At 38.5% G+C, this 15,505-nt stretch overlaps 1 protein-coding gene across 6 annotated transcripts in view, besides 1 other annotated feature; it reads right to left on the reverse strand.

Annotated features, from left to right (window-relative positions):
• Positions 1-15,505, reverse strand: part of EPS15 (epidermal growth factor receptor pathway substrate 15) — a 165,004-nt gene that overhangs the window by 133,463 nt on the left and 16,036 nt on the right. The gene's annotated exons all lie outside the window — the stretch shown is intronic.
• Positions 13,562-13,851: an enhancer, noted in NCBI's record as "active region_1023". NCBI's record gives its function as "activates an Ori minimal core promoter by ATAC-STARR-seq in GM12878 lymphoblastoid cells {active_cell/tissue: GM12878}" and the evidence as "EXISTENCE:reporter gene assay evidence [ECO:0000049][PMID:35858748]".

Below are 15,505 nucleotides of genomic sequence, written 5' to 3' on the forward strand. Positions count from 1 at the left end.
TAAACACATAGGAGAAGATATTAGCTCACCAAAGTGTTCTAAAGTACACCCTGTGCTGATAACTACACTAATGTGATACAGCTAAGTGAGAATGGAAAAAGCCATCCAAAGTGCCAAGTCACTCATCAAGCAAGATGATCAAAGAGTGTTTCTGGTGTGTCTCAGTAAAATTGGCTTTTGTTGTTATTGTCGGACTATGAACATGATCACTTTTTAGGCAGGGAAAAAAAAATCACATATAATGAATGAACAGAGGAAAAAATTGAAAGGCATAGCTTATTAAATGGTAACAATGATTATCTCTGGATAGCAAGATCATAAATGATTTTTACATTCTTCTTCATACTACTCTGCAGTCTCTGGAAACTCTGAGAATAAACACATCCTAATTATATAATAAGAATGAAACAATAAGGCTATTTTCAATCTAGAGAAAAATATAAAAATCCCCAAATGTGATCAGTATATAAAACTGCATATGAATTTTTAACAATCAAATTAATTTCTAAAGGAAAACTTTAACTCCAACTGTCAAAATCAAAATCTGACCTTTTACAATTCTGTTATTACAATTTAAAAGCAATTATATATTCATTACCTATATCATAAATTCTTACCAGCTGTCACAAAGTTAAATATTCATAAATGTCAGAATTCTTTTGAAAGAGTCCATTGCTATTTCTTACTAGTCTGAAAAATGTAAAGTACCTGTAAACAAGAGATGCTAGAAAGCCAATAAAGTTTTGTAAAAAAAAAAAAAAAAAAAAAAAACTCAGACTTTGTATCAGAAAGGTATTCAAAGCCCATTCTACTACTTCTTAGGTATGATCTTTAGTAGCTTATTTTACCTCCTTGAAAAGCCTGTTTCCTGATCTGGTTGGTTTTGAGACAGGATCCCACTCAGTCCTGGCTGAAGTGCAGTGATACAATCACACTGCTGCCTCAAACCTCTGAGCTTAAACAATCTTCCCAAGTAGCTGGAATTATAGGCATGAGCCACTACACCCAGCCTCTCCTCCTTTCTTTAGTAATAGTACCCCTAAGCTTTACATACACACACCTAGCTAAAACCTACATTTCCCAACCTCTCTTGCAATTTCAGTTATTCATCAATGGAATGATAAAAGAAATGTGTCCAACTCCGAGGATGTGCATCTAAAGAGAAAGGAAATGCCTTCTGACTCCTAACCCTTCTCATAGCTGGCTAGAATACAGATATAGTGACAGAATCTAGAGAAGCTATCTTGGATTGCGACGGAAAACATGGGAAAAATACAGCAACACGAGAAAAAAAGCCTGAGTCCCTGACACCATCATGAAGCTCCTACAGCACTCTACACCACCTACCCCACTTGGATTGTTACTTGTTACTTGAAATTTGTGATTTTGGTTTAAACCAATATCCTAACTAATGTAAAAAAAAAAAACAAAACAAAAGGAGGAACTGCTATTTTTGTTAAGGAAAAAATATGTTATTATAATTACATATATAGCTATAGAAATGTAAATATAATAAACTTTACTAAGAAAAAAATTTTTACAAAGTATAGCCTAGTATACCATATATATATATATATATATGTATGTATGTATGTATGTATTTTTTTTTTTTTGGAGATGGCGTCTCCCTCCGTCACCCAGGTTAGAGTGCAATCACGTGATCTCGGCTCACTGCAATCTCCGCCTCCCGGGTTCCAGCAATTCTCCAGCCTTAGCCTCCCAAGTAGCTGGGACTACAGGTGCACACCACCACGCCAGACTATTTTATTTTTAGTAGAGACAGGGTTTCACCATGTTTTGCAGGCTGGTCTCAAACTCCTGGCCTCAGGTGACTAGTACAGCATCTTAAGGTGTTTAGGTGGTATTATAATTCCCAGTCGTCTGTTTCCCTCTTGTATACACAGAGTATATAGCCTCTCTCTCTTTAAGAGTAGTATTAATATCCCTGCCTGTTGCCATGTGACTTGTGGTGTCTCTCCGTGGGTGTTCCAAGGGTGGGTTTGGCCATATAACTTGTTTTGGCCACTGAATCTGGGAGAAAGTTCCAGTTCCAAGTAGAAGCTTCAACAGCTATTGTGTGTTTCTGACAGGTCTTACTGTTTTCTCTCTACCAAGAGAACAATATGTCACAAATAGGGACTGCTCCTCCAGCCCGGATCCTCAAATGAGAAAGAATCACAGAGCAGAACCATAGCTGATTCCTAGGAAGCCTATAACGTGAAAAACAAATAAACCCTTCTTATTGTAAGCTACTCATATTTTGGCTTGTTTCTTAGTGCAGCATAATCTAGCAAATGTTAACACATAAGTAAATCAACACCAAAGTGTATCAAGTAGTAATAAAAAAGATCCCAGTTACTAAGGAAATTTATAGGTTAATAATTAAATGTCAAGAATTGTCTCATATGGAATTTCTGGTGTCATTTTTAGGGGAGGGTTATGTGGGAGGAGATATTAGAGTACATGACTTTGAGAGTACAAGATTCTCTAACACACAAAATAAACTGAAATTTTAAATGATTTAGTCTTATTATAAATGGTTACAGTACAATGTGGAAGGCCAGGCATGGTGGCTCACACCTATAATCCCAGCACTCTGGGCGGCCAAAGCGGGCAAATCACGAGGTCAGGAGTTCAAGACCAGCCTGACCATCATGGTGAAACCCCATCTCTACTAAAAATACAAAAAATTAGCTGGGCGTGGTGGCGGGTGCCTGTAATCCCAGCTACTCGGGAGGCTGAGGCAGGAGAATCGCTTGAACCCGGGAGGCAGAGGTTGCAGTGAGCCGAGATCATGCCATTGCACTCCCGCCTGGGCAACAGTGCGAGACTCCATCTCAAAAAAAAAAAAAAAAAAAAACAGAAGTGAAAGTAAAATAAAGAGACAACCTCTAAAACATAATGCCAATCTTTTCTCAGTTAATCACAAGGTCAGATACTAGGGAGTCGTCAGTAAATAAATTAATAAAATGGAGAGGGGAGTGGGTATGATTATAGAGGGTAACACAAAGGATCTTTGTGACAGAGCAAGTCTTTATTTTGATTACGCTTACAGTTACATGAACCCACACATAATAAAACTGCATATGGATAGAACTATATATGCAAACACACTAATGAGTATCTATAAAACCGGCAAAATTTAAATAAGGTCTGTGGGTTATACCAATGTCAATTTCCTGTTTTTGCTATTGCTGTAGTTATGTAAGATGTTACAATTAGGGAAAATTGGATGAAGGGTGCATAGAGCCTCTCGGTACTACTTTTTGCAACTTCCCATGAAAAGGCAGTATTGAAGACCAATGTGAAGTAGAGAGAAGGTGGCAAATCAGGCAGTAAGAACACTGTGCGATGGCAAATCAGGGCCAGGTAGTAAAAGGAAGACAATGGAATAGATTTTATCCCTTCAAATAAACCACTCTTTTTAGTTTTGCTCTTTAAAAAATTTTTTAGTCTCTTAATGCACACAATTTTCTGTAATTTGCCATAAAATTATTTCTGACATATTAACACATAAAAATTCAACTACTTAGAATTCCACCTTCTATTACTCCATTTTCAAGAGGGCTGAGAAATCAGAATGGGGACTAGCCACCACAGCCTTTCAACTCCCACCTCAACCACCACCACCACCCTTTAAAGATAGAATAGCAACTCCTAAGGCCAAAGTACTAAATGAATACACCAAGAGTCTATGTTTTTATACACATAGGTTTATAGTTTGCAAGACAGAACATTTAGAAGCTTTTGATAGGCTATCCATATCTAGAAAAGGCTTGTATATTTTACAATGTAAAAGAAAACAGGATGAAAACTAAGAGTAAACAGAAGAATGAAAAATAGTAAGGAGCAATAGTGATTAACAGCAATCCAAAGTGACAAGGAAAATAGAAACCGGAAGCTGTTTGCTTATTACAGAAGCTAGTAATAAGAGAAATTTGAGAAAGGAGAACAACTCTAAAGCTAGGGTGGAGGGCGTGGTGGGGCAGAGAAAGGCAAATCACCTGGGCAGTCCTCACCTTTAGAACTGGAGAGGGTGGGGAGTCAAGGAAACACAAGCAGCCACTTGAGCAGTTCCCTTACAGAATGCACAGTGCACATATTCCTCAGCTCTGTAATTCCCAACTCATTTAATTTTTTTTTTTTTTTTTTTTTGAGACAGAGTGTTGCCCAGTCTGTTGCCCAGGCTGGAGTGCAGTGGCACAATCTCCACTCACCGCAGCCTCCACCTCCGGGGCTCAAGTGATTCTTCCCTCAGCCTCCTAAGCAGATGGGACCACACCCAGCTAATTTTTGTATTTTTTGTAGAGATGGGTTTTCACCATGTTGCCTAGGCTGGTCTCAAACTCCTGGATTTAAGTGATCCACCTGCCTCGGCCTCCCAAAGTGCTGAGATTACAGGCATGAGCCGCTGTGCCTGGCCCTCATTTAATAATTTAATAGACATAAACTGGATGCTTTCTAGGTACAAGACAATAGGTTAAGGTGTCTGGAGTTAAAATAATCAGATAGGGCTCCTGCCTTCAAGGGCTTAAATTCTAGTAAAAATTGTAATGCTACCTTCTGCAAACACGCTAACATCTCATGTTTGTTCCATAACAAAACATTACAAATTGACTTAGCAGGCAAAGACCTAGGAATACTGTAAATACAGTATTCTAAAGAAAGTTTTCAAAATCCAGATAAAAAAATATATTTGCTCTGGAGATTCACTTCTTTCAAAAATGAAAGAAGAAAGGGACTTTAGAATAGACAAAAGAATTTCAAAGAGATAGTACAGAAAATACTACTGAAAAACGATGGATGTAAAGACCATATCACCAACTCAAACCAGTAATGGGCCAGTTTTTAATTGAATACAACTCAATTTGATCAAAAATCTAGGTGACATAGAGACAGAATGAAAGCAAAGTATAGCTTGGGTCTTTCATCAGAAGACTTAGTGAGCCCTATATACATCATTCTAGGTAGGCCAAAAAAACAAACAAACAAACAAAAAAAACAGATCAGTGGAAGAAGCATGATCTTTAAGCATGAATGACTAATATACGAATTTATAAAAATCCTCTCACCTCCTTTGTAGCCCCTCAAATGGCAGCTGTCAGGTTTTAACGACCTGCCTATCTCAGGTTTTAGAAATGTGAATAAACTCCTCTTTGCTCACCAGCAGCTTGTCCACATTACACTATTTAACTTCTTGTTTTAAAAAACAAAAACAACAGCCGGGCGCGGTGGCTCACGCCTGTAATCCCAGCACTTTGGGAGGCCAAGGCGGGCGGATCACAAGATCAGGAGTTCGAGACCATCCTGCCTAACACAGTGAAACCCCGTCTCTACTAAAAATACAAAAAAAAGGCCAGGCACAGTGGCTCACGCCTGTAATCCCAGCACTTTGGGAGGCCAAGGCGGGCGAATCATGAGGTCAGGAGATTGAAACCATCCTGGCTAACATGGTGAAACCCCATCTCTACTAAAAATACAAAAAATTAGCCAGACGTGGTGGTGGGCGCCTGTAGTCCCAGCTACTCGGGAGGCTGAGGCAGGAGAATGGCGTGAACCCGGGAGGCGGAGCTTGCAGTGAGCCAAGATCGCGCCACTGCACTCCAGCCTGGATGACAGAGCGAGACTCCATCCTCCAAAAAAATAAAAATTAGCCAGGCGTGGTGGTGGGCGCCTGTAGTCCCAGCTACTCTGGAGGCTGAGGCAGGAGAATGGCATGAACTCAGGAGGCGGAGCTTGCAGTGAGCCGAGATCGCACCACTGCACTCCAGCCTGGGCGACAGAGCAAGACTCAGTCTCAAATTAAATAAATAAATAAATAAATAAATAAATAAATAAATAAATAAATAAATAAAAATAAAGCTCTATTCTTTTGAGGCTCTTAACTTTCTTTTTTTGGGGGGTGGATGGGAGGACAGAGTCTCCCTCTGTCGCCCAGGCTGGAGTGCAATGGCACGATCTCGGCTCACTGCAACCTCCGCCTTCTGGGTTCAAGCGATTCTCCTGCCTCAGCCTCCCGAGTAGCTGGGATTACAGGCGTCACGCCTGGCTAATTTTTGTATTTTTTTTAGTAGAGACGGGGTTTTACTATGTTGGCCAGGCTGGTCATGAACTCCTGACCTCAGGTGATCCACCAGCCTCGGCCTCCCAAAGTGCTGGGATTACAGGCATGAGCCACGGTGCCCAGCTGAGGCTCTTAACTTTCAACTAAATTACTCTCTCCTCTTCCTTTTCATGTTAACTTTCAAGCTCCTGGTCTCTACCTCATTTACCTAAGGCTTTGATGGCTCACTGTCATCTTCTCTACCCCAACCCTACATCAAATTTAGTAATTTCAATTATCAATTTGCACAACCCATCCACAGCCTGGCTTCTTACTTCCTTGATCTCTTTAACTTCAAGAACCTCTCCAAAACACAGGATCAACAGTGAACACATATATTATGTCCCAGTCACCCTCCTTGTCCCATAGTAAAATCCTTCCTTGCCCTTCTATCTTCAACCAAAAGTGCTCCACCTCCTTAATCACTATTTCAAGCACCTTGTCCTCCAACCACAACCTCTTCTTCCAGATTATAATCCTTTGACCTCTATAAAACCTCTTATCCATGGGCCCAATAGACTTTGATCCCTCAGGCCCTCTCTATTTTACTTTCTCTTCCACCTTATTCAGTTTAGATTCTACAATTCATCATTTCAATAATTCTCCTGCCAATAACCTAAATTCCCTTGCTCCTCTTGTCTTATGACACCAATATAGCAAAATCCCAAACCTGAATGAAACCATCTAAAAACTTTTCTTTGATGCTGCAGCTGAGAAAGTCACTCAACAAGGTAGACCACTATTATAAATTCATGATCACTGTATCAGTTCACAAGGGCCATAACAAAGTACCATAAACTAGATGGCTCAGAACAGAAACTTACTGTCTCACAATCTGGAAGCCAGAAGGCATTAGGGAAGGATCTGTTCCAGGCCTCTCTCCTACTCTTGGTAGTTCTTTGGCTTGTGGCAGCCTACCTCCAATCTTCCCATGCCATTCTCCCTGTATGTCTGCGTTCAAATTTCCCTTTTTATAAGGATGCCAGTCATACTGGATCTGTGCCCCACTCTACTTCATATAACCTTAGCTAATTATATCTGCATCAATGTTATATCCAAGTAAGGTCACATTCTCCAGTACTGGCAAATTTTGAAGGGACACAATTCAACTCATAACAATCAGTAACCTCAATTCTTTCTGGCAAACCTACTTTTAAACTCATTCTCCACAGCAACTATGTCAGGGCAGAAATGTAACCTTAGTGGGACCTATTAGAAAGGGGTCCACTGGACTTGTAATTATAAAGTATGCAAGCCTGAAGCTTTATAATCATCTTAGTTCTACAACAGAATAATTTGCCTTAGAATGGAGCCAAGGTACAAAAAAAGAAAAACTAAGTAGTGACATCACTGTGACCCTGACACACCAGAAGCCAGGTCTACTAATGGACCTACCATTTATATAAACTAATGTTTTCTGCTTAAGACTGTTAGAATTGATGTTTCCTGTCACATGCAAACAAAAAGGTTCTGATATGAGAATGGATAAAACTGACAAAGTGAGTTTTATTTATTTTTATTTTTATTTTTTTTTTTGCTGGCAAGTATGTAGAGTAAGAGTTTTACAGTTCTTGACTGGTTTTGGGAACCATACAGAATACCAGTCAAGAAATATAAAAGAATAACCAAAGAATATAAATCAATAGAAATCTTTGGTGTTTTAATTCTTTTTATACTATAGACCTAACATTTTAAGAAATATGCCCATACAAATTTTTCAAAAAAATCAAGTGTAATTTAAAACAAACACCATTTCCTAAATAAATCAATTTCTTAAAGTGAACTAAGAAAACATATATTTTCAGCATATTTATTACTTGTTCCATTCCTTATTTCCAAACAGCAAAGAATTTGGCAAAAAAAAAACCTCTCCTTAATTATTTAAACAATAATGACAGTAATAACTTATAAAGTGGGAGAGATGGCAAGCCCTCAGGGTTTACTGCTGCCACCCAATTGGGTGGGATGATTAATAACCCAGAAATAACAGCTTTGATTAGTGAAAGGTGACATGGACTAGTCCAAGGTAAATAAACATGCCAATATTTATACAAACAAATGAAGAACAGCTTAGGCAAGGAGAAAAATATAAGCTCTGCACAAATGAGACCAAAAAATTTTTTCAATCAGTAATCAAATGTTGCTTTTTAAAATGGCAAGTTAAACTGTAAAGTATGAATTTAAATAGCACATTTTAAAATCATATACACAGTGTTTCACAGCTTCATAACAAATAACATACATTGAATCTCATTAAGCATTTCCTATACTCCAAGTACTAGTCTAGGCACTTACACATTAAGCCCATTTAACCTGAGGCACATACTATTATACCCATTTAACAAATGAGGAAAATAAGACATTAACTGAGTAACTGACTCAAAGTTACACACCTAGTTAAGTGTTGGTAACAGGATTAAAATCCAAGAAGTCTGATTCCAGGACTTTCACTCTTAATCATTAAGTTTGTTGCCTTTATAATCAATGTTACTATTATTTTCCCCATTATCGTACTAAGCTCTTTCATATGAATTGTAACATTTGAACTTGATAACACTCAGAGAAGTATACCATATTCCCCCAATTCTAAGAAACCTTTAGTTGTAAGTGCCACCTTCCATTTAACAAAAGCATTACCAAAATGAATAGATAATTTAAAAGCATACTTTTTATTCACCTACAATTGCATACATTTATTCATCATTTTCCCCTAGTATCATAAACAAACATTAAGTCAAAGCTTTCTTCACATTCAAAATCTGAAGATTCTTCTGAATTGCTTTCGGCAATTATGCCCAGAATCAGACAGACTTGCTGCTTCATATAATTTAGGCCTCACTTCTAACACTGATCTCTTCAGTATAAAGAAATATTTTAAAATACTGCAGTTTTCTGTTACATTTCCTTTTTTCTATTTTTTTAAACTGTTAATTTTTAAAATTCACTCCATTATAGTCAGAACTTGAGTAACAGTCACTGGATAACATATCAACTTCTCATTTAGCTTTTAAAATTCTACAATGTTCTCCAAGAGTTTAACAATTACTACTATCTAATGTCTACTATGTGACATATGACAGTGGACACTTCGATTCTGAGTTCTAGAATTTTTTTCAGTGCCCTGTACCCTGAATGGTGCTTGACACATAGAAGATAATAAATATTTTATAAGTGAACAAAAATGAAAGAATGAAATGAGTAACTGAATAACAAGAAATCTTCTGCATTCTGCATACAGAAAAAAGCTATTCAATGTTACATATAGAATATTTTTTAGAAGACACTTAGGAGTTCAAATTTAAGTTAAAATTCAACTTCATGTAGTTCTACAAATGCAACTCAACTGAAGTAATCATTTGATGAATATTTCTATGTACTACCAAGTACATACATACAGAGCAATGATGACTGCCATCACAACTAACTCCTCTAACCAGTCAGCTAGCAAATTTCTTTTGTCATTCTCATCCATTTTAAGAAGCAGAAAAATAAAACAGGGTTATACTAAAATTGAGGGGAAAATCCCCTTCTCAGATGAGATAAACTTACAAGGAAAAAGATAACTTGTCCAAAGTCACAAAAAAGTTAATCATGACAAATGCAAAGAAAAAGCTCAATATGACCTAATGCCCTCGAAATGATACATGGATATGGTGACTATGATGCACATTTTATTTATAAGCATACAACAAAGGGTGAGAAATACTCATTAATCAGCCAAGCAAGGCAGCTTGAATAGGCCCACACCCAATTCACGCATCTTAGAAGTATCATGACATATAAATATTCGTTAAATCACACATATCTTTGCAACAGTCCTCTGGCAGCAGCGAAAAATATCACTTAAATCAGCCACTTAAAATTTTAGTGTGAGGTACCGTGGCTCATGCCTGTAATTCCAGCACTTTGGGAGGTCAAGGCGGGCGGATCACGAGGTCAACAGATGGAGACCGTCCTGGCCAACATGGTGAAACACCATCTCTACTAAAAATACAAAAATTCGCTGGGCATGGTGGTGCGCGCCTGTAGTCCCAGCTACTTGGGAGGCTGAGACAGGAGAATCGCTTGAACGCAGGAGGCAGAGGTTGCAGTGAGGCGAGATTGTGCCACTGCACTCCAGCCTGGCGACAGAGCAAGACCCCGTCTCAAAAAAAAAAAAAAAACTAGTGTGTATTGTGAAGTATAAAGGTGATAGATTCAAATAATGACATACAGATTCATAATTAGGAAAAAAAACTTAAACCCCCCTTTTCCAACTAGTCGATAAGATAACAATGTCACTTCTCTATATTTGGATTTTATGCTTTTATCCTCAAAAAATTCTGCCTGACCATTGATAAATTCACTTATCCAACTCATAAAAGGTACAATGGAACAAAGAGACCTAAAGAAACACCCACATACCCATATATTTCAAATGGTTCATAAATTTTCATTGATGATATGATCTTAGGTACGGTGCTCAGTGGTATCAATGTTGTATAACCATCACCAGTTGGTCCCCAATTTACAATGGTTCAACTTAACAATTTTTTAACTTTACAACAGTACAAAAGCAGTAAGCATTCAGTAGAAACCATACTTCGAGTACCCATACAACCATTGTTTTTCACTTTCAGTATTCAATAAATTATATGAGATGTTCAAAATTTTATTATAAAACATGCTTTGTATTAGATGATTTTGCCCAATTGTAGGCTAATGTAAGTGTTCTAAGCACATTTAGGGTAGGCTAGACTAAGCTATGATGTTTGGTAAGTTAGGCATGTTGAATGCATTTCTGACATATGATATTTTCCACTTACTATGGGTTTATCAGGATGCAACCCTATTGTAAGTTGAGAAGCATCTGTATTTATTTCCAGATTTTTTTCATCTTTGTACTCATTATACAAAAGCTTCTCACTCCTCTCTCCCCCAGTCACCTGGTAAATACATTTCTATTTCTGTCTTTATGAATTTGCCTGTTTTGAATACCTTATTGCCACAGTTTGAATGTTTGTGTCCCCAAAATATTCATGTTGAAACTTAATCTCCAATGCAATAGTATTAAGAGGTGGGGCCATTAAGGGGTGATAAAGTCATAAGGGCTCCTCCCTTGTGAATGCAATTTAGGTACGTATCAAAGAGTCCTCCCAGCACTTGCCTTTTTTTGCCCTTCCTTCTCTTCTGCCATGTGAGGCACAGCATTCATCCCTTTTACGCCCTTCTACCATATGAGGATGCAGCAAGAAGCATTATCTTGGAAGGACAAAGCAGTCCACATCAGACACTGAATCTGCTAGCACCTTGATCCTAGACTTCCTGGCCTCCAGAACTGGAAGAAATAAATTTCTGTTCTTTCTAAATTGCCCAGTTTTTGGTATTTTGTTATAGCAGCAAAAACAGACTAAGACACATATAAAAACAAACATAATATTTGTCCCTTTGTGTTTGGCTTATTTCATTTCAAGTCTTCAAGGTTTCTTCATGTTGTAGCATGTATGATAATTTTAATCCTTTTCTTTTATGCATGCACCACATTTTTTTTTAATTCATTTAGCTCTTCACGGACACTTGGGTTATTTCTACCTTTTAATTCTTGTGAATAATGCTGCTATAAACATTACTGTACAAGTATGTGTTTGGATCCTTGCTTTCAATTCTTCTGAGTAGACAGCTGGGAGTGGAATTGCTGAACCATTTATTTTGAATTTTTTTCAGGAACTGCCATGCTGTTTTCCATCAGCTCATTTTACATTCCCATGAGCCATGCACAAGGGTTCCAGTATCTCCAAATTCCTTCTTTTTCTTTGATAAAAGCCACCCTAATGGGTATGAAATGGCTTCTCATTGTGATTATAATTTGCATTTCCCTAATGACTAATGATGTTGAAAATTTTCTTGTGAACTTACTGGCAATTTGCATATCTTCTTTAGAGAAATCTCTATTCAAGTCCTTTTCTCATTTTTGTTCTACTTTTTTATTATGGTAAAATACACATAACATAAAATTGTACATTTTCAAGTACAGAATTCAGTGGCACTAAGTATATTCACATTATTGTGCAACTATTTCCACTATCCATTTCCACAACTTTTTCATCATCCCAAACTGGAAATCTGTACATGTTAAACACTTAACTCCCCTTCAACCCCTTGTTACCAATTATTCTACTTTCTGTCTCTATGAATTTGACTATGCTAGTTACCACATATACATGTAATCGTACAATATTTGTCTTTCTGCATTTGGCTTATTTCATTTAGCATAACGTCTTTAAGATTTTTCCTTCTTGTAGCATATATCAGAATTTCATCCCTTCTTAAGAGTCAAAAATACTCCGTTGCATGTAGATACCACATTTTGTTTACTCATTCATCTGTCAAAGGATACTTGAGTTATTTCTACCTTTTGGTCACTGTGGATAATGCTGCTATAAACACTGGTATACAAATGTGTTCAAGTCACTGCTTTCAATTCTTTTGGATATATACTCAGACATGAAATTGCTGGATTATATGGTGATTATGCGGTAATTCAATGTTTAATATTTTGAGGAACTGCCATACTGTTTTCCACAGTGGCTGCACAATTTTATAATCTCATCAGTAGTACATTTCTCCACGTCTTCATCAATATTTGCTAGTTACTGGTTTTTTTATCATAGCCATCCTAATGGGTATGAAGTGGTATTTCATTGTGGTTTTTGTTTGTTTTGTTTTTTGAGAAAGGGTCTTGCCTTTCTCAACTCTAGAGAGCAGTGGCATAATCACAGCTCACTGCAGCCTCGACCTCCCAAGCTCAAGCAATCCTCCTGCCTCAGCCTCCCAAGTAGCTGCACCTAAAGGTGTGCACCATCACACCCAGCTAATTTTTAAAAGAAAATCTGTAGGTCGGGTGCAGTGGCTCACGTCTGTAATCCCAGCACTTTGGGAGGCTGAGGTGGGAGGATCACGAGGTCAGGAGTTTCAGAACCAGCCTGGCCAACATGGTGAAACCCCATCTCTACTAAAAACACAAATATTAGCAGGGCATGGTGGCACACACCTGTAATCCCAGCTACTTGGGAGGCTGAGGGAGGAGAATCACTTGAACCCGGGAGGTGGAGGCTGAAGTGAGCCAAGATCGAGCCACTGCACTCCAGCCTGGGCAACAAGAGTAAAACTCCATCTCAAAAAAAAAAAATAAAGAAAGAAAATTGACAATCTCTCTGGGGTGTTTCCTCATATATTAAAAAACACAAAAGAAAGAAAAAACGTACTATAAATAGTCTTTGTGAAAATTACATGTTCCATAAATGTAAAACCTTGTATTGGCTGGGTGTGGTGGCTCACGCCTGTAATCCCAGCACTTTGAGAGCCCGAGGCGGGCAGATCACCTGAGTTCAGGAGTGGGAGACCAGCCTGGCCAACATGGGGAAACCCGTCTCCACTAAAAATACAAAAAATTAGCCAGGCATGGTGGCAGGCCCCTGTAATCCCAGCTACCCAGGAGGCTGAGGAAGGAGAATTGCTTGAACCCGGGAGGTGGAGGTTGCAGTGAGCCGAGATGGCACCATTGTCAGCCTGGGTAACAAAAGCGAAACTCCAACTCTGTCTTAAAAAAACAAAAAACACTGTATGTGTTACTCATTGGTAGTATTATTAGTTTTTTGGGGGGTTTTTTGTGGGTTTTTTGTGGTTTTCTTGAGACGAGTCTTGCTCTGTCACCCAGGCTGGAGTGCAGTGGTGCAATCTAAGCTCACTGCAACCTCGCCTCCCGGGTTCAAGCGATTCTCCTGCCTCAGCCTCATGAGTAGCTGGGATTACAGGTGTCTGCCACCACGCCCAGCTAATTTTTGTGTTTTTAGTAGAGATGGGGTTTCGCCTCGTTGGCCAGGCTGCTCTCAAACTCCTGATCTCAGGTGATCCACCCTCCTCGGCCTCCCAAAGTGCTGGGATTACAGGTGAGAGCGGCTGCACCCTGCCACATTATTAATTTTAAGATAAACTACATTTACCATGCAAAAGGCTAAGTGAACTTCCCACCCCCTGGTTCTTTTCAGAGTTGCAGGGGAGAGTCTAATAATAACCTACATCTCAAACAAGTTTTCAGGTGCTGATAGTATAAGGACCACCCTCAAGAACCCCTCTGAAGCAACATAATTAAAATGTGAATTTAAAACAACCCTCTGGCCAAGTGAGGTGGCTCATGCCTATACTCCCAACACTTTGGGAGGCGAAGGATGTGAGAATCACTTGCACCTTAGGAGTTTGAGACCACCCTGGGCAACATAGTGAGACTCCATCTTTACAAAAAGCAAACAAATTAGCCAGATGTGGTGGTGCATGCCTGTTGCCCCAGTTACTTGGGAGGCTGAGGCAGAATTACTTAAGCCCAGGAGGTCAAGGCTGCAGTAAGCCACCATCTCACCACTGCACTCCAGCCTGAGCAATAAAGACCTTGTCTCAAACAAATAAATAAATGACAAAATTTAGAAACCCCTTCTTCCTCATTAGTATAGTGGCAAATAAAAATAAATAAATACTTTTAAAAAAACCCTTTCAAATAACACTAGTTTTATTTCATAGCTGAACTAGGCACTTTTGAGGTATTGATTATACATACGTATGCTTCAGGTACAAGAAAAGGATGTCCACTCTTGCCACTTCTAATCATTATTATACTGGAGGTTCTAACCAGGAAAATCAGACAAGAATAAGAAATAGCATCTAGATTGGGGGAGGAAGTAAATCTGTATTTGCAGAGGACATGAACTTATATACAGAAAATCCTAAGGTATCCACTAAAAACTACTAAAGGTAATAAATATGTTCAGATGGTTACAGGATACAAGATCAGTATAAAAAAATTTTTGTTTTTATACACTTCCAACGAAGAATCTGTAAATGAAATTAAGAAATCAATTCCAGGCTGGGCACGGTGGCTCACGCCTGTAATCACAGCACTTTGGGAGGCTAAGTTGGGTGGATCACCTGAGGTCAGGAGTCCGAAAGCAACCTGGCCAACATGGTGAAACCGCATCTCTACTAAAAATACAAAAATTAGCTGGGCGTGGTGGGGGCTTGCCTATAATTCCAACTACTCGGGAGGCTGATGCAGCAGAATCACTTGAATCTGGGAGGTGGAGGTTGCAGTGAGCCAAGATCCATGCCACTGAACTCCAGTCTGGGCGACAGAGTGAGACTCTGTCTCAAAAAAAAAAAAAAAAGAATTCCATTCACAATAGCATCAAACAGTTTTCTTATCAATTTATTTGTTATAGCTTTAACAAAAGTACAAGACTTACTATACTCTAAAAACTACAAGACACTGAACAAAATTAAAGAAGTTAAAAATAAAAAGGAAAAACATCCCACGTTCATAGATCAGAAGACCTTGTTAAGATAATACTCCCCAAACTAATCTATAGATTCAAT

Source organism: Homo sapiens, chromosome 1 (genome assembly GCF_000001405.40).
Source record: "Homo sapiens chromosome 1, GRCh38.p14 Primary Assembly".
NCBI lineage: Eukaryota > Metazoa > Chordata > Mammalia > Primates > Hominidae > Homo > Homo sapiens.